We start from the raw sequence: 19,621 nt of genomic DNA on the forward strand, positions 1-19,621 counted from the left end.
CTCACCATCCCCTTTGTAATGTAAACTTGAAGTCTTTTCCAAAAAGAGGTGGAGATTTTTTTGACTTAGCCCCATAATGCAACAGAAGTGATCAAGTGCCGGGTTCTGAGACTAAAATTTAGAAGGCCTGGTACATTTTAGTTTGCTCTCTCAGTTCTGCCTCTGCTGTGTGAACAAGCTCAAGCTAGTTGTCATCCCATCTCTAAGAAATAGCCAGACCAAATCCCAGGCAGACCAATGAGCCATCCTTGAGAAATCTAGCCCTCTTCTTACCCACAAGCTGACCACAGACATATGATTGGCCCAAGATCAACCTACCCATAAATTTATCAGAAATAATTACATGGCTGTTGCTGTAAGCCAGGCATTAGCAAACCTCAGCCCATGGGCCAAATCTGGCCTGCTGCCTCTTTTTGTAAAGGAAGTTTTATAGAAACACAGCTATCTTCACCTGAACCTGCTGCTATAACAAAATACCATAGACTGGGTGGCTTAAACAACAGACATTTACATTTCACAGTTTTGAAGGCTGGAAAGTCCAAGGCACCAGCAGATCTCATGTCTGGTGAGAGCTGTTTTGTTTTCTTCAGAGATGGTGCCTTATTGCTGCATCCTGACATGGTAGAAGAGGTGAATGCTGTATCTTCACATGGTGGAAGGGATGGAAGAGATGGAAAGGATGAACTTGGTCCCTCAAGCCCTTTTATAAGGCATTAATACTATTGTACATATATTTGGGATACATGTGATATTTTGATACTGATATACAATATGTAATGATCAAATCAGCTTAATGGGATATCCATCACCTCAAACATTTCTCTTTGTGTTTGGAACACTGAAATTCTTCTCTTCTAGCTATTTTGAAATATACAATAGATTATTATTAACTACAATTTCCCAACTGTATGATCAAATACTAGAACTCATTTCTTTTATTTAACTGTATTTTTGTACCCGTTACCCACCTCTTAACACTATTGCACTGGGGACTAAGTTTCAACATGAATGTTGAACTTCATACCATAACATTCATACAAACATTCATACCATAGCAAAAGATAAACTCATTTGTTTGCATATTGACTATGGCTTCTCTCATGCTATAATGGCAGCGTTAACTGTAACTATAGTTGAGACAAGTAGTTGCAATTGAGACCGACCTGTGAAGCCTGAAATATTTACTTTCTAGCACTCACAGAAAAGTTTTTTGACCCCTTGTTAAGTCACTGAGCTTTTGGGTGGTTTGTTACCCAGCAATAGCTAACTGATACACATGGTAATTGTCAGATAAATACAGAGAGGACTTTGAATAGTTTCCACTAAAATAGAATTCATTTGTTTGTTCCTTTATTATATAGACATTGATGGTCTAAAGTTTTGCCATACACAACACAGATATAGCTCTTACCTGACTGAGCTTACTGTTCAGTAGGGAAACAAATTTAAAAAGCAATCAGGGTATAATTAAATAGGTGGATGAAGTCACAGGGAGACTAGGTGACTTAGCCATTCATGGACATGGTAGCAGCAGCAGCTGGTATGGATGAGGGGATGTTGTAGGCATTGAGGAGCATAGTTTTTGTGAAGGTAGAATGGACAAGTCTAAGGCAAGTCTAAGCCATTATCTTGGTTCGGGAAAGTGTGTAGAAATCTCTCTCAGGGAGTACATTAAGGAGATGAAAGTGTCTGTATCCTTATGTGGTGGTAGTTACACAATCTATACAGTATTAAAACTCATAGAAGTATACACCAGGAAGAGAGCCAATTTTACTGTATGTTAATTTAAAAAATCTATGCCAAGTATAGGCAATAAAATACTTCAAAATTTGATGAGAAAGTGAAGCTCATTATTATTTTAGAGGTAAAGTAGTTATAACCTTACTTTCCCTGATTAACTTATTAATTTCTAGGGGGATCTACAGCAAATTCAGAATTTAGTGCAAAGCTATCAGAGCTCCAAAAAAATCATTGATATCGAGTCCACTGAGAGAAAGCAAAAAGTTTCATGAAACCTTGAAGTGTTCTATGTACCTATATGTGGACCACACATGAGCTGTATGTGGTTATAAAAATACCCCAGCTATCCCAGCTTCTCAGCTCCATGACAGACATTGTTCTCACTTCTAATTCTGGAGCACCACCACTGTCTTTGGCCACACCTACATACACACATTTTCAGAAGGTAATTTATTCTGTCCAAGCCGACAACTTGAGGTTCCACAATCTCTGCTGCTCTCACACTCCCTTGAACAAAGACACAATTATTCACATTTGATAAAGTCTTCACTTATGCCTCCTGATCCACTTCTGGGCAGTATTTTTTAACAAGTTTTATGTTTTCAGCATACAAAAAGACATTTATTTCCTTAGGATCTTTTCCTATAAGCAAGCTATGCTACTCCCAGGTACCAGTGAGTGCTTCAACTGGCAGTGTTTTGGAATTTAAACCAGAGGTGTCTAAGGGGTTGTGAGGTTGCTAAAAACAATCCACTGGGTGCCAGAAGAAAATATAGGAAACAAAAATATTTCATATGCCCACTTGCACTGGTTCCTTCTCTTGGTTTAGATGTCATATACCCAAAGGAAGGTCAGGTGTCACACATGTACCCAAAGTACCCCAAGGAAAAAGAGTGAAATGCTACATTGCTGAGGAATTGGCAATAGCGCCCCTGCTGGACTTCCATGTGTCAAGACAGATTTGAGCTTACAGGTGCTAGTTTAAGTGATTTATAGATGATCTTGTTGTAACAAAATAAAACCATGTAAAATGGACAAGTGGCTTATAGAGTTTCCCTTCAGAGAAAATTGGATTGAAGGCAATGCTAGTAAAGCAAACAGAAGCCATCAACAAGGACCTGGCATTTCTCCTATTCTTAATGAAGGACTGTTCTCCAAAAGACAGGCTCCTCCCAGGGAGTGTGTGTTCATGAACAGGGCTGGGGGCTGATGCTGTCAGATAAAAGGCTTTCTTTGTTTACAACATGAGGACCATGTGGAAAAGTGAATGCCAAAGTTGCCAGAAGGGAATGCTGCAGTTCTCAGAAAAAGTAAGGGATATTAGGCAAACAAACAATAGCTGTTCCTAATGAAATTCTCTTAGATTGGCACAGTTTAAATGTTCAAATCACTTTGGTATCAGATCGGTTTGGATCTTTTGTTATCCTGGAATCACTTGAAAGCTTGTGTGCATTTACTGTTTTGCTATTTGTGCTAATTTTTATGTTTTATTTCTCCTCATATTAACTTCTTGAAAGCAGAAGTGTATTGTATAGCAGTGTTTCTCAAACTGAGATCACACAAATCACAAAGGGATCCTGATAAAATGCAGATTCCTATTCAACAGATCGGGGGGTGGCACCTGAGAATCTGCATTTCTGACAACCTATCAGGTGATGCCAATGCTGCTGGTCCATGGGCCACACTTTGAGTAACACTGGTCTAACTCTAGGTAGATCAATTTATCAGGGTAGGAGTATAACACAGCTGTTTATTATGGATTCTTAATTATGGGAATTATTCTGTGACTGCCTTCTATAAAGAAATTCTCTGTTGGATGGAGCTTCTTCACCCTTTTTTCTTCCTTAAAGACGTCAGGAAAAATCAGAGAGAAGAATATAGCAAAACAACCCTTTCCTCCCTACCAATCACAAAGTGGCTGCTAGCTTATTTGAAATGTAAATATAATGACTCTCATCAATGGCACTATGTTACTGAATTATCCTCAGCAAACTGAATCACAAGCATAAGAAGGCTTTTTCAGAAAAGTGCTGTTGAAGGCATTTCAGGACACCTTACCTGCTTTTCTTGACACAGCTAAAATCTTCCCCAACCCCATAGTCCCTGCTCATACCTGTAACACTCATTTGCCCTACTGATTCAGAGATAAAATTCTCTACTGAATTTCACTGTCATTTACATATTTTCTTTGCTCGACTTGTCTTTCCTAGAAAATATCAAACTCTTGGAAGGTCAGGGATAGTAATAACAAAAACAATTACATCGATTAACACTAATCCTTAACATTAATCATTTACGATGTGTCAGGCACTGTACAGACTTTGTATACATTATTTCATGCAGTATTCTCAATAACTCTCTTATTCCTACTTTACAGATAAGAAAACTAGGCTCGAAAAGAATAACTAACTTACCTGAGGTATGGGAGAGACTACAATTTGCTACCCAATACCTATTCTCCATTTCTTCTCTTGCAATAGAGACTGAATTCCATGTGGAGTACCAATGCAGTTAGCTAAAAGCCTCTCTTGGCCAGGCATGATGGCTCATGCCTGTAATCTCAAAACTTTGGGAGGCTGAGGTGGGAGGATCACTTAAGCCCAAGAGTTTGAAACTAGCCTGGGTGACATAGTGAGACCCCAACTCTACAAACATTTTTGAAAAATAAAAATAACAGCCTCTTTTGAAGGTAGGTATGGCCAGGATACTAGCACGTAGCCAAGGAGATGTAAACAGAAAGGTGGCATAGAACTTGACGATGGAAAATGAGAGCTCAGACTTCAAGTAAATAAGCAACTTATAAGATAAGAACTTGTCAACCTTCTGACTCTCTTCTTTTGTCAGACCTTCCATGATCATTTGATGTTTTTAAACTTTGGCAGCCATCTTTAACCAAAAGGTTACCTTGGGGATGAAGGCCATACACTAACATGGTGGGGCCAAAAAATAGGAAGAGCCTGGGTTCCTGGTGACCTTGAAGCTGCATTTCCAATTCAGGACTAGTAGCTCCAGACTGCTATTACATGAGAAAGAAAGAAATATGTAAGTGCTATTTGAGCCATTTTAGATTACCCCTCACTCTGGGCCTGGACTTACCTAACTGAAGTGTGTCTCACAGTTAACAAGAGATGTGGCTTAGATTCAGCCATAGGCCATTTCATACTGTTTTCCTACCCTCAGTGCCCAGCTGAAAACAGCACGTTGTATGCTCTGCTTAGTTTGGCCACAATAATTAACTCTTTACTAAGAAGAAAAAAAAAAGTCCCTTCCCAGGATTTGCTTTCATGGTCTGCTTCAGTAGCACAAGTCAGGAATGCACCAGCATCCCTCTAAACAATTAGAAAATGGGATAAAGATATTTCTAGAATGGTGTAGATACTTTTCAAGATGTTTCTTTTATTAATTGCTATTCTTGCACTCCACATTTTTCTCATTTGCAATCCATACATCTGATATTGCCATTATCATTTGTGCATTCATTTGGCACCTATTTATTAAGCACTTATTACATGCTAGGAAACAACCTCGGGATGGAAGAGTGAACAAAGCAGACAATATCCCTGGTTTATGGCATTTATATTCTTATGGTGGGGGAGAAGAGGACAAACAATAAACAATAAAATAACAGGTCAGGTAGAGATATGTTTTATGGAGAAATTAAAATGAACAAGGGGGATCATGTTGGCAGGTGTGTTAATCAGGATTCCCTTGAGGGACAGAACTAACACCTGTAATCCTAGCACTATGGGAGGCTGAGGCAGGTGGATTGCCTGAGCTCTGGAGTTCGAGACCAGCCTGGGCAACACGGTGAAACCCTGTCTCTACTAAAATACAAAAATTTAGCTGGGTATAGTGGCATGTGCCTGTAATCCCAGCTACTTGGGAGGCTGAGGCAGGAGAATCACTTGAACCTGGGAGGTGGAGGTTGCAGTGAACTGAGATCGCACCATTGCACTCCAGCCTGGGTGACAGAGTGAGACTCCATCTCAAAAAAAAAAAAAAGGAGATATATATATATATATATATATATATATATATATATATATATATATGAGAGTTTATTAAATATTAACTTACACAATCACAAAGTCCCACAATAGACTGTCTGCAAGCTTGAGGAACAAGGAAAGCCTGTCTCAAAACTGAAGAACTTAGAGTCCGATGTTCCAGGGCAGGGAGCATCCAACATGGGAGAAAGATGCAGGCTGGGAGGCTAAGCCAGTGTCACCTTTCACATTTTTCTGCCTGCTTTACATTTGCTAGCAACTGATTAGATTGTGCCCACCAGATTGAGGGTGGGCCTGCCTGTCCCAGTCCACTGACTCAAATGTTAATCTCCTTTGGCAACACCCTCACAGACACACCCAGGATCAGTACTTTGCATCCTTCAATCCAATCAAGTTGACACTCAGTGTTAACCATCACAGCAGGAATGGGATACTTACCTGAAAAAGGCAAGAATGCAAATCATGGAAATTTAGTTTCCCAGCTTAGACTGTCAATGTATGCTTTTATTCTGGGAATGGATGCACAAAACCTGGTGATAGAAGATTGATACATTTCAGAAAATGTTCTACGTGACACTTGACAACTTTAAGAATTTTTTATGTACTTGTCTGAGCATCTGATGTTGAACAGCTCCAATTGGACAATAACTGGTTTGTTTTTCTTCTCTTTTCCTTCCGCTTGGCTTCCATGTCATTCCAGCAGAAGCCCAATTGCTTCTTTGCTCAAATAGGATTGTACCTTTTTATACCAACTTGGAGAAGAGAATGTGAATAAGTGAGTAACTGAGTATGTGTGTGAGCTTGGGTGCATACCCCAGATATACAAGTGCATTTAAGAAGAGCTGGAATAGACAAGATAATCCTGATATTTATTTAGTCAAAAATGAAAATTTCTAAATACTGAATTCTAATTCTTCTCAGTCCTTTGAAAATGCAAACTTCCTCCCCACATCATGTGGTCTGAAAAATAAGTGGAGGTGGAAAGAGAAGTAGGAGGAGATTTGAAAGCAGTAGAAGGAAAGATAATGAGGCGGCTGCTAAAATTTTTGCACAAGGACATGAAGACTTCCCTTAATGTTTAAAAACGTGATCTTGCAGCCTTTTCCATTTTGACTTCATTTTCCTCATCTACTGAATTAACGAGAATCTGGATGATCTGTAGGTCAAGCATTTGCTGGAAATAAGAAGGCCAGAGCTAATAGCCATTGGCTTTGCCTAGGACCATAATCCATCTGCCCAGCACAGACATCAGCTTTCCTGTCATTATCACAGGAAGCCCCTCAGAACCCTAAAGCGACTGGCACTTTTTTTCTCATCGGAATTAAAGTTAGCAGCTTCTCATCTTCAATGTGGAAATGTACATAATCCTATGACAGTATACTATTGTCTCTAAAGAGAGCTACAAATTTAATTTTGAGTTTGTGTTATATAAATCATGCAATTCCATTAGTATGTCTTCGTGCTGTGATCTAAATTCACAAAATCTGATCCCATCCTAAGATGCTGATATTCTGCTATTCTCTGCTAATGATACAATCAGAAACAAATATTTTGTTCGTCTTTGTATTTCATTTTGGTCAGAATTGCCTAGAAGCAGAGCCTGAGACAGAGATTCAAGACTAGGTGACTGAGGAAGAGTTCTCAGGAGGAAAGGAGTAGAGGAACAGGTCAGAACGTGAGAAAAAACTTAAGCAAGGACACATTCTCAACTGGCCTCCGGCCTCAGCCTCATCCCACGGGGAGTTCTGCAGTGTGAGTTGTACCCTTCTCTCCTGATCTCTCATACCCATGTCTATCAGTCATTGCTTGCTGGATATCCCCTTCCACCTGAAGGGAGGGTTATAACCTACTGTAGAGGGCAGCTCCCATTGGCCAAGGGCAATTCCGTGCAGAACAGGGCAGTTATGCATCATTGGCAACCAGTGTTTATAGAACTTGAGATATGGGTACTCTGGCAGATGGGTGCACCAGCCTGACAGTGAAGATCCAAAAGCATCCCCCCTTCTCTTTTCCATCCTGGAAAACTTCCTGATTGCTTCATCTTGCATTGTTCTTTATTTTTTTATTTTTAATTTTTGGAAGTACATAGTAAGTGTGTATATTTGTGAGTCACATGAGAGATTTTGATACAGGCATGTGATGCCTAATAATCATTTTAGGGTAAATGGAGTATCCATCACCTCAAGCATTTATCATTCATGCTACAAACAATCTAATTATAATTTTATTTATTTAAAAATGTACAATTACATTATTTTTACTTAGTCAATCTGCTGTGCTAGCAAATAAAAGTCTTCTTCATTCTTTCTAACTATTTTTTTGTACCGATTAATCATCCCCACTTCCCCCAGGACCCCCATCCGCACTACCCTTCCAGTCTCTAGTAACCATCCTTCTATCTCTATCTCCACGAGTTCAGTTATTTTAATTTTTATCTCCCACAAATAAGTGAGAACGCCTTGCAGTATTCTTAAATAATTACTTCCTTCTTCTCCTTCAGAAAAGCTCCTTCTCAAGCTCTTCTTCGTTCCACTCCTGAAAGACATGAGTGATTGTATAAGTCTTTTAATAATTGACCCAACCTGTGAATGAGTAATGGCTTATCAAGAAAGAATAGACATTTAAATTTTGTGATCAAGGCACAATAATATAAAGTTTGTGCCCTGAGCCCTGTCACATTTGTTGTTGTACAAATGACTACCAGGATTTTTTAGTCTACTTTTTTTTTTTTTTTTTTGCTACTATTGGCTATTCTATAAATAGCTTGGGGCATTCTGTAAATAGCTTTGTCTTTCTATTTCTAGCATCCAACATGGTTTCTTGCATGGGACAGACATTCAATAAATGCTCATGAATAACTGAATGAATTAAAGAATAATGGGGTGGCTGTTGAGATATGAATGTTTACTGTAAGACTGTGAAGATTCAAAAGATTAAAAGTGTATAAGGGCCAGGCAGGTCATGTCAACAAGTAAAAGTGATTGTGGCCAACTGGAGAGCAACATACAATAGCCTATGAGGGCCAAAACCTTCAGCTTTCCCAGATCATGAAAACTGTTTGAGAATGCTGACATTGATATTTTGATACTTTATCCTAAAAATAAAATCTAGAGATACAAAATTGTATCTGAAACTTCCTTATTTTTAGATGTTGACAGATAGCCTAACTAACAACAACTAACATTATAGGAGCCAATCCATACTTGTATTAATTGAATTTCACTTGGGAAATTTTTGGTTTGTTTCCACTGCCATGGAATATTTCCTGGTTGGTAATTATCATTTGTTTCACTTTCAGTGAACAACTAAAAAACTGAGAGAACAAAAGAGCAAAAGTCTTCTATCATCTTCTTCCAAAACCTACTATTCAAAAGTAGCTCAATCAAGAGCATCTTTCGATTTTCTCTATAAGATTCTGCTTTGAGTCTTTTCCTGTCTTATGGCAGCTTTTTATTCCACCTTCTTTATTCCTGTATATACTTTGGAGGTTATTATTCTCAATTCCTCAATTCCTCAATTCCTTGGCCTCCTTTGTCTTCTTACTCAGCTCATGGAGTTCTTATTCCCCCTTCCATAAACCTTGAGGAGGTCCATGGCTGTGCTTCAAAATGGATCTGTGAACACCTGGGAATTCCTTTGCAAGATGGTATGTATGTGCTTATGTGCATTTTTATGTGGAGAAAATGGCGATTTCTATCACATTCTAAAAGGAGTACCCCATGTCCATTCACTTTTTTTTTCTTTTTTTGAATTTTTATTTTAGAATCAGGGAGGATATGTGCAGGTTTGTTACAACGGTATATTGTGTGATACTGAGGTTTGCAGTATGAAGGAATCCATCACCCAGGTAGTGAGTATAATACAAAATAAGTAATTTTTCAGCCTTTTCTCTTCTCCCCCACCAGTAGTCCCTGCTATCTATTGTTCCCATCTTTATGTCCTTGTGTACTCAATGTTTAGATCCCACTTATAAGTGAGAACATGTGGTATTTGGTTTTCTTTTTCTGCATTAGTTTCCTTAGGATAATGGTTTGCAGCTGCATCCATGTTGCCACGAAGGACATGATTTTGTTCTCTTTTATGGCTGCCTAGTATTCCATGGTGTATATGTAACACATTTTCTTTATCTAATCCACCATTAATAGGCACCTGAGTGGATTCCATGCCTTTGCTATTATGAATAGTGCTGCAGTGAACACACATGCTTGTATCTTTTTGGTAGAATAATTCATTTTCCTTTGGATATAGCTAGTAATGGGATTGCTGAGTTGAAGGATACCTCAACTCTTAGTTGAGAAATCTCCAAACTGCTCTCCACAGTGGCTGGACTAATTTACATTCCTGCCACAGTGTATAAGTTTTTCCTTTCCTCTGCAGCCTCAGCAACATCTTTTATTTTTTGACTTTTTAACAAAGCCGTTCTGATGGGTGTGAGATAGTATTTCATTGTGGTTTTGATTTGCATTTATGTGATGATTAGTGATGACGAGCATTTTTTCATGTTTGTTAGCTACATGTATGTCTTCTTTTGAGAAGTTTCTGCCCATGTCCTTTGCCCACTTTTCTATGGAGTTGTTTTTTTTTTTTTTTTGGTTTTTGGTTTTTGGTTTTTTTTTTTTTTTTTTGCTTGTTGATTTGCTGAAGTTCCTTATAGATTCTGGATATTAGACCTTTGTCAGATGTGTGGTTTGTGAATATTTTCTCCCACTCTGTGTGTTGTCTGTTACTCCCTTGATGGTTTCTCATGCTGTGCAGAAGCTCTTTAATTATGTCCCATTTGTCAACTTTTAGTTTTGTTGCAAGTGCTTTTGAGGATGTAGCCATAAATTATTTGCCAAGGCTGACATTGAGAAGGGTATTTCCTAGGTTTCCTTCTAGGATTTTTATAGTTTGAGGTCTTACAGTTAAGTCTTCAATCCATCTTGAGTTAATTTTTGTATATGGTGATAGGTCGGAGTCCAGTTTCATTCTTCTGCCAGTTATCCCAGCACCATCTATTGAATAGACAGTCTTTTCCCCATTGCTTATTTTTGTCAACTTTGTTGAAGACCAGATGGCTGTAGGTATGTGGCTTTATTCCTGGGTTATCTGTTCTATTGGTCTATGTGTCTGTTTTTGAACCAATGCCATGCTGTCTGTTCACTTTTGAAGCTTCATGTACACTTGCCTGGACCTTATAGCTGGTCATAACATGGTTTCTTCCCCTTAGTTTAGAAAATATTTCAGTGGATCCCCAATGCCTCCATTCTTAGATTTTGATAATCTAAGAATGCAAATTCTTTAGATTAGCATTCAGGATCCATTACCATCACTTACAATCCTTGTGCCCTATGTTCTGTCAATAGCAAACTATTCACAATCTCAAGTTCCCTCGTGCTTCTGTTTGTAAGTATGTCCCCAGCACCTCCCAACCTCTCATCCACCTGCGTAAGTGTAGCTAATAAGTGCCCTTGGGTTGGGTTTCCCAGAAGTTGACCCTAAGACAAGAACTTGAGTGTGAGTTTTTAATGTGGAAGTTAATGCCAGGAAGCACTAGTAGGGAAGAGGGAAGTGAGACAGAGAATGGAAAGAATCTGATAAAGTGTGTGTTATCAAACCAGTTACCACCGTGGGCAAGAGGAGAAACTCTGTCCTGCAGAGGAACTCTAAAGGACAGTGTAGAACAACTTCAGAGCTGTCTCAACTGCAAAGTCAGAAAGCTGGGATATTTATCCATCAACTCCTGGAAGTCACTGGTTGAGGACTTCTTTGGGGAAACTAAGGCAGTAATTGGGTGTGTTCCAAAGCCAGGAAGAAGCCGTCAGGTGGTGAATGTTTGATGTTCCGGGTAAATTGTCTGTAGCATAGAAGTTGAGTGTTGAGGGAATATGGGACGATCAGTTACATGGGTGAGGAGTGTCACTCTACTGCAGCAAGTTGATCACTTGCCTTCTCCAAGCCTAAGCTATATCTTTTATATCCTAATTTTCAGCTCTTACTCATTGTCTAGCAGAGCGAATGTTTACCCATGATCAGTGAATAAATGAAGTGTATTTCCCAGGCTTATTCAAGCTCTTTATTTGAAAAATATGAGCATGCGGAACAATTTCAAGTTGACCTGGACATTTGAACTCTACCTGCAAGCACAGATCTGGAACATCACTGCCTTTGACTGGGGCATTGGAGTAAAGTCGTTATCCCTGCCTATTGCCCAGAAAATAATCTGTGTCCTTCCACATAGCATGTACTTTTTCAGCAAACTCAAAGCAAGCTAACTTTGTGGCCAGACTCACTACAATTGATCAGTTTTATTAAAGCCACGCGTAAGAGGCAGCCTTTTAATCCTCAAAGTAATTCCCAGTGTGAGCCTTTCAAGGCTAATCACCCTAGTGATTGAACAGGGTGAGAAGAATGAACCACTTTCTGACCTTTTAGTGAAGTCAAGTGCAGGATAATGCATGGATCATTTTCTTGATGATTTTATCTTGACACAACTGAATTTTTCTTAGGAAAGATTACAGCCAGACTTTTGGTGTTAAAAGTCTAAAGAAATACTTTTAGATTCACGAGTGGAAGTTCCTACATGTTTTTCTAGAAGATGTTAGGAGTCACAAGCTCAAAGACATTAAAGAAGAAAGGTCATTTTAATTATTCTACAAATATAGCTGTACTTTTTATTTCCACTTATTACTTTTTTCTCTAGAAATGGCTTTTTATGCTAATACTCCTATTTCGCTAGCATTGTGAGCGAGTGCTCCACCTGTCGGCCACTGCTGACATTACACCATAATTAAGCCGTATTTTGTTTTCTTTCAATGCGGCCTCCTGCTGGAACATGCTTTAGAGCAGTAGTTATTAAACCCAGAATCACCTGGACAACTAACAAAGAACACGACCAGGTTTCCTGAAGTACGACGGGGCCTGAGCTTTTGTATTTTTACTAAGTTCTGACCTTCACTGAAGTTGGAGGATCACTGCTGTTGATCATGCACACCAGATTTTCTCACTTTGAGCAATTGTTTCATGCAGAACACTAATGACAAATAATTTTAAATGTATATCACTCAAAAAGTTAATAAAAACAATAAAAGAAAATGGAAAGCATGTATTACAAAAACAAATTAATACTATTTTAGTATTAATCTAATTAGGAAACATTTCATTGTGTTTCAATGCTGAAGAAGCACTAAATAAATGCTCATGGAACTTGCAGGTTAGTCTCACAATAGGTGTTTACCAAATACTGATCTAGAATGTCACAACCTTCCTTTATTTAGTCTTCACTGCCAAGTTTTACCTTTAAATCAAGTTCCTCTACACTCTATAGTCCAAATTTCCCTTCCAGCCCAAGCTCCATTTTCTGATCATTTAAGTTATCTTTATTTAAAAGGCATTTATGTATTTCTATAATTCTGTACATAATTTACTATTGCTTGATCTAAATAATTAAATTTAAGCCAGTCAAGTCATATTATAAAGGAGACTGCAACTCAAAAGATGATTTGCATCTAAAGCAAAATTTTATTTTTATTTTTTTTTATAATCTTAACTTTTAGATTCAGGAGGTACATGCACAGGTTTGTTATCTGGGTATACTGCATGATGCTGAGGTTTGGGGTGCGATTGATCCCATAACCCAGGTACTGAGCATAGTACCCAGTTAGATTTTATTTATTTATTTTAATTTTTTTAAAGTTTTATATTTTTTTTCCATAACTTATTTGGGTACAGGTGGTATTTGGTTACATGAGTAAGTCATTTAGTGGTGATTTGTGAGATTTTTGTGCTCCCATCACCCAAGCAGTATACATTGCACCATATTTGTACTCTTTTATCCCTTTCCCCCATCCACTTCTCCCCCCAAGTCTCCAAAGTCCATTGTATCATCCTTATGCCTTTATAGCAAAATTGTAAACATTAAGTTTGAACCTCAAAATTAATTTTCTCAGCTCAAATATGAACAATTTCAGGTCAGCGTACATTTAAAAATTCTGCAAAAATAGTAAAGCTTACCACTTCAAACCAACTACTGTGGTTAAAATGAAAAAGAAAGTCAAACCAACAGAGTAACCACACCAAATGTTTGTGAGAATATATAGAGCTACTAGAATTCTCATACATTGCTGTTTTGGGATATAAACTGGTACAATCAATTTCAAAAAAAGAAAAGTATTTTGTAAAGTTAAAACATTTACAACCTGATGCTCCTGGAAGAAAATGTATCTAAGAGAAATGAAAACATGTGTCGACAAAAAGACCTGTGCAAGAGTTTTCATAGCAGCTTTATTGATAACAGTCAATCTGTTATAACAGCCAGAATCTGTTATAACCTAAATGCCCATCAACAGGAAAATGGATAAATTATGTTACATTCACATAATAAAATACTACTCAGCAATACAAAAGGATGAACTACTGAGACACACAACGTGGTGAATCTCACAATCATTATGCTGAGCAAAGAAAGATAGACACAAACAGGTACTTAATGTATGATTTCATTTCTATGAAGTTCAAGAACAGGCAAAATTAATACATGGTGATAGAAATCAGAACAGAGGTTACTTATTGAATTGACTGAAATGAGGCATAAGAGAATGAGGCATAAGATGACCAAAATTTCTATTTGGGAAATGCTACATTTGTCAAAATTCATCCAATTTTATATTTAAAAGCTAGGCATTGCTCTGTTTATACATTTTACGTCAAGAAAAATGAAAAAATATGGGATTTTGAATCAAGTGAAATGTTCAAGTCATCTATTTATTGTCTTAAACAATGAGAAAGCCTGGTGGAGGCCTATGAATTGTCCTTTGCACTGCTATGAAGTGTGGATGTGTGTGTTGCGTGCATGCATGCGTGTGCTCATGCATATGGTAAGGATGCTAATAAACCCAAAGCTGAAAAGGATCTTGCAAAGGTAGAGGTGAAAAGCTATCTGGATTTTGTCTAGGGATTGAAGTTAGAGATATTGATCCAAGACAAAATGCACTTTCTTGAACCAGGAGAGTCTGAATATCTAAATCTTGGGTGCTCAAGTCCTTTCTCAAAGGAGTGAAAGGCAAGTTGTTTATTCTAGGTGAAAGCCAAGGTTATTTACTTAGGTCTAGAAATAAATGCACAGCAAAAACCATAGGTGAAAGAAAGAGTGAAAACAGATGAGTTCCCCAGGCTTTGGGAAGAGGTTCAAGTAGGTCAGAAGGTGATGGGCATCCTCCTGTTGGTGAGATCTCAGCATACCTGGGAAAGGGTGAAATGATGGATAAGGAGGTGGGGGACTTGGCACTGGAATTAAACCCATGATCTATCCTCTAAGTGGCTCCTTGAGTTTCTCAATGAAGCTTCACCAGAACCCAAATCAGAGGCAGCTACTATTTCACTGACAAATCAGATGATTCTCTAAGACTAGGTGGAGGACCATACATTGGGCAGGTTCATTTCTGGATAAATTTCCTCTGTTAAGGGAAAAGAAAGACATCAAAGGTGAATATGTCATCAGTAGAGACGACAGCAAATATGTTTCCAATTTTAGTGTACTGGTCAAAAGAACCATCTTGGCTGACTGCAGTGGTTCTTAAGCCTGGATGTGATGTAATCGTATGAAATGCTTCAAAAAATACCCATAACCTGAGCCCCACCCACAGAGATTCTGATTGAATAGGTCTACAACGGGCCTAGGTAACTCTAATATGTGACCAGGATTGGTTTACAGCAGTGGTTCACAAAGTGTGGTTCTTAGACCAGCAGCATAAGCATCACCAGAGAATTTCTTTCTTTTTTTTTCAGACAGAGTCTTGCTCTGTCACCAGGCTGGAGTGCAGTGGCGCGATCTCGGCTCACTGCAAACTCCGCCTCCTGGGTTCAAGTGATTCCCCTGCCTCAGCCTCGCAAGTAGCTGGGACTACAGGCGCGTGCCACCACGCACGGCTAATTTTTTGTATTTTAGCAGAGATGGGGTTTCACCATGTTGGCCAGGATGGTCTCAATCTCCTGACGTTGTGATCTGCCAGCCTCGGCCTCCCAAAGTGCTGGGATTACAGGTGTGAGCCACCGTGCCCAGTCAAGAATTTCTTTAGAAATTTCAGACCTCACCCTAGATCTACTGAATCAGAAACTTGGAAACGAGGCCCAACCATCCTTGTTTCATCTAGCCCTCTTGGTGATTCTAATGTATGATATAGTTTGTCCCCCAAGTTAGAAATTTTGTTGCAGGGGGGATTTTCATGATTATGTATTCCTGGATTGAGTTTTAGAGTCTCTAGTTTTTGGAGTATTTCTCTTTTTATGCATTGGTATTATTTTTTATCTCAAGCAATGATGGGCTTTCTTATGAATTGCGTGCGGATGTTGCTAATTTCTGCAATTCTTCCTCTGTTTCTTGAATTCTCTGCATCTATAATTTGTATCTCCTTTGCAGCTGATTGCTTTTGCTCTCTTTTCCCATATATTCTCTTCCTAAATCAGCTGCTTTTACAGAAGTATGTCTTTATGTCCCTTCAGGATTTCTACACTGTGCTGCAAGGTTTTGCATTCATTTTCCAGGAGAGCTTTGCTGAATGCAGTGAGCAAAACTCACTTTCTTTATTTGTTCTTCCAGTCCATGCTTGGTTGACACCTCATCCTTCAGCTTGGATGGGAAATGGCCTCAATCTTCTCTAGCTATTGTTAATGAAGATTCTCCCCAGGAGACATATCTCATCTGTCATCTCTGATTTATTTTATCTTCTCACTCTGGTGATTTGCCAGTTATTTCAGCTGCCCAATGCAATTATTCAAAATGTCCAATTCTTTTTCGTGTATGGTAAAAAAAAACAAGCTTCCTCTATGTCTTTCCGAGTTTTATAATAAACTGTAATTTGATTAGTTCTCTCAGCCAAGTGTTCCCTTCATCCAGTTTTCTGCTTCCTGTGGTACTGCTCCATGCCCTCTTTAGGTCTAGATTTTTCTCTTTAACCTTCAGAGGCCAGACTTCCTCTTCTCTTTGCCGAGCTTAGCTTCACCAAGGCTTTTATTCACTTTGAAAGTTTCAAAAAAATCCTTGAAAATATTTGTGATATTTTTATCAAGCTTTTGCCTTCCAACACCTTGTTCTAGTTGTTTGATTTTGTTTTATTTGTTTTCTTTTGTGTTCTACATTTTGCACTTCCTAGTTTTCCCAAAACAACAAGTACACTTCCTACCAGCATTTCACTGGCTATTTTATTCATTTTTGAAAAGATTCTAGTTGGAAACTTTATGCAGTTCCTTCTTCAGAGGGGTGTTTCTTTTGTATCTTGATCTTCACTCCTCAAAAAAGTCTTTGCTACTTTTTTTGTTCATATTTGACAATCTTTATTGATTTTAAGGTAGTCTTAAAGTTTGATAAAACTGTTGTGCTGTCGTTCGTTTTTTTTGTCTCTTTCTAGAAGAAACACCCTCTGGAAGAAAATGGCTGATGAACAATTTCTTGATAAGGCACTATGAGTTATTGACTCACAAGGCCCTTCATGAAAATCAGGGTTGCCCTGCTGTCTACAGGGAATGTAGCTTGTGGCATCCCATGATCTATTGCTTCAGGCCTGTTTGGAAGAATCACATTCTTCACGCCTGAAACACCTGGTTGCTCTTCTGTATTTACTTGTTTCTGTATTTGTTGTTTCTTTGTTGTCGTAGAATCACTAGCCTCTCCCAATAGGCCAAAACCATCTTTCGAGTACGTGTTATCTCAATTTCTGCATTTTCTAGAGGCCTCTTATTTTCTTCTGCTAATTATTCTCATTCATTTTATTTACTTGAGTCTTCAGTATCAGAAGTCTCTTGCATTCTCAATGATGTATTTTTCAATGACAGAAGAATGTTCTTCTAGAGCAGGAACTGGCAAACTATGATTCATGGGCCAAATCTGGCCCCACCACCTATTTTTGTAAATGAAGTGTATTTATAAATAATGTTTTGTAAATAAAGTTGCAAATGAAGGAAATGCAGCTATCTCCATTAGTTTGAGTATTGTCTTCTTTTTTCTTTCTTTCTTTTCTTTCTTTTTTGAGACAGTGTCTCCCTCTGTCACCTAGGCTGGAGTGCAGTGATGCAGTCGTTTGAGGCTACACTGTAGCCTGTAGAGACAGGGTCTCTTTATATTGCCCAGGCCAGTCTCAGACTCCTGAGCTCAAGCAATCTTCCCGTCTCAGCCTCCCAAAGTGCTGGGATTACAAGCATGAGCCACCATACCCCATCTATTTGCATATCGTCTATGACTGCTTTCACACTATAAAGTCAGGGTTGAGTGATTATGGCAGAGACCATAAGACCGCTGACCATATGAAAAATACTGCCTTGCTCTTCACAGAAACAGTTTGCAGACATCTGCTCTGCAGCTTTCTCAATACCAAGTGCAACTCTTTGCTCTAATGAAGTGGGTTGGCACCTGGCCCTGCTGGGTCATTCTCTGATTTTCTGTATGCCCCCTTGGGCTTGGACTCGTGGATATCACCTTCAGGTATTTAGTAGGCTTACTAATTTCCTTCCTAGTTTCAAGTATGGGCTTTTTCAAACGATGTCCATTGAGGAATTTCTCAGTCTGCCCTCATTCTCACCCATATCCTGAGCTATCTTTCTTGCTGCAAAGTATCAAAGCCTCAGTTTCTTTATAAAAACAAGCACATTCCTTATCTGTTGGCAGTTCTCACATGCTTAAAATAACCGTTTGCATTAGGTGGACACTGAAGAGAATGAGAATTCAACCCACATAATTTTTAATTTTCCACGTTTCACATCTCTCAAAGCACATCTTGTCTGAAGGACATATAAAGATATACTATGAAGGCACTGATGCAAAAAAAAGTGCAGAAGTTCCAAAAACATCAAAATATAATATATAATCAGCTTATATTTTAGTATATTACAAGATGATTCTAATTCTCTGCCCCTTTCTGAATCCACTGTCTTTCCAATGTGACTTTGCCACTCTTCTTACCAAGAGATTTTCCCACCCAGTGACTCTGAACTGGCCTTGGGATTAGCTTTGGTGAATAGAATGAGCTAAAACTGGTGTTGCAGTTTTGAGGCTGGGCCTCCAGAGACTTTACTTTCATTTTTATTCTTCTATCCTGGCCACCACTAGCAGAACAAGCCTGAGCTAGCTTGCAAAAGGATGAGAGGCCCTTAGAAAGAGAGTTGAATTTTTCAGGACAAAACCATCCTAGAGCAGAGGCTTCAAACCAACCCACCAGTGGACCTTTCCCCTAACCGAATGACAGTTCTGCAGTAATTCTTTCGAAACCGAAGTCTCCTGTCTCATTTCCCTATTTTTTTTTCACTTCAGTATTTGGTCTAAACCTTTAAACTTCATGCTATAGTGTAAATGATTAATAGACAAAGTATTTTTCTTATTAACAGAACTCTGCATTTTAACTGAGATGATAGATATTTTATCTTTAAACAGAATTAGTTTGTTAGGGTTGCCGTAATAAAGTACCACAGACTAGGAGGCTTAAACAACAGAAATTCATTTTCTCACAGCCCTGGAGGCTGAGATCAAAGTGTCATGAAGGTTGGGTTTTTCTGAGGCTGCTCTCTTTGGCTCATTGATGGCCGTTTCCTCCCTGTGTCTTTACAGAGCCTTCCCTCTGTACATGCCTATGTCCAAATTTTCTCCTCTTATAAGTGCACCAGTCACACTGGATTAGAGTCCACCCTAATGATCTTATTTTTACTTAATTACCACTTTAAAGATCCTATTTCCAAATATGGTTACATTCTGAGGTAATGAATGGGGATTAGGACTTCAACAAATGAATTTGGAGGGACAAAATTCAGACCGTAACAGTGACTTTTGGTAAATGCCATTCAGCAAAGAGTGGGGATGGAAGAAAGCTTCCAGAATGAGGTTGCTCTGCAACGCAAAAGGCCAGTGGATA

At 38.6% G+C, this 19,621-nt stretch overlaps 2 annotated features.

Moving 5' to 3' along the window:
• Positions 18,932-18,991: an enhancer, noted in NCBI's record as "active region_17539". NCBI's record gives its function as "activates an Ori minimal core promoter by ATAC-STARR-seq in GM12878 lymphoblastoid cells {active_cell/tissue: GM12878}" and the evidence as "EXISTENCE:reporter gene assay evidence [ECO:0000049][PMID:35858748]".
• Positions 19,002-19,101: an enhancer, noted in NCBI's record as "active region_17540". NCBI's record gives its function as "activates an Ori minimal core promoter by ATAC-STARR-seq in GM12878 lymphoblastoid cells {active_cell/tissue: GM12878}" and the evidence as "EXISTENCE:reporter gene assay evidence [ECO:0000049][PMID:35858748]".

The sequence above is a fragment of the Homo sapiens genome, chromosome 20 (genome assembly GCF_000001405.40).
Source record: "Homo sapiens chromosome 20, GRCh38.p14 Primary Assembly".
Lineage (NCBI taxonomy): Eukaryota > Metazoa > Chordata > Mammalia > Primates > Hominidae > Homo > Homo sapiens.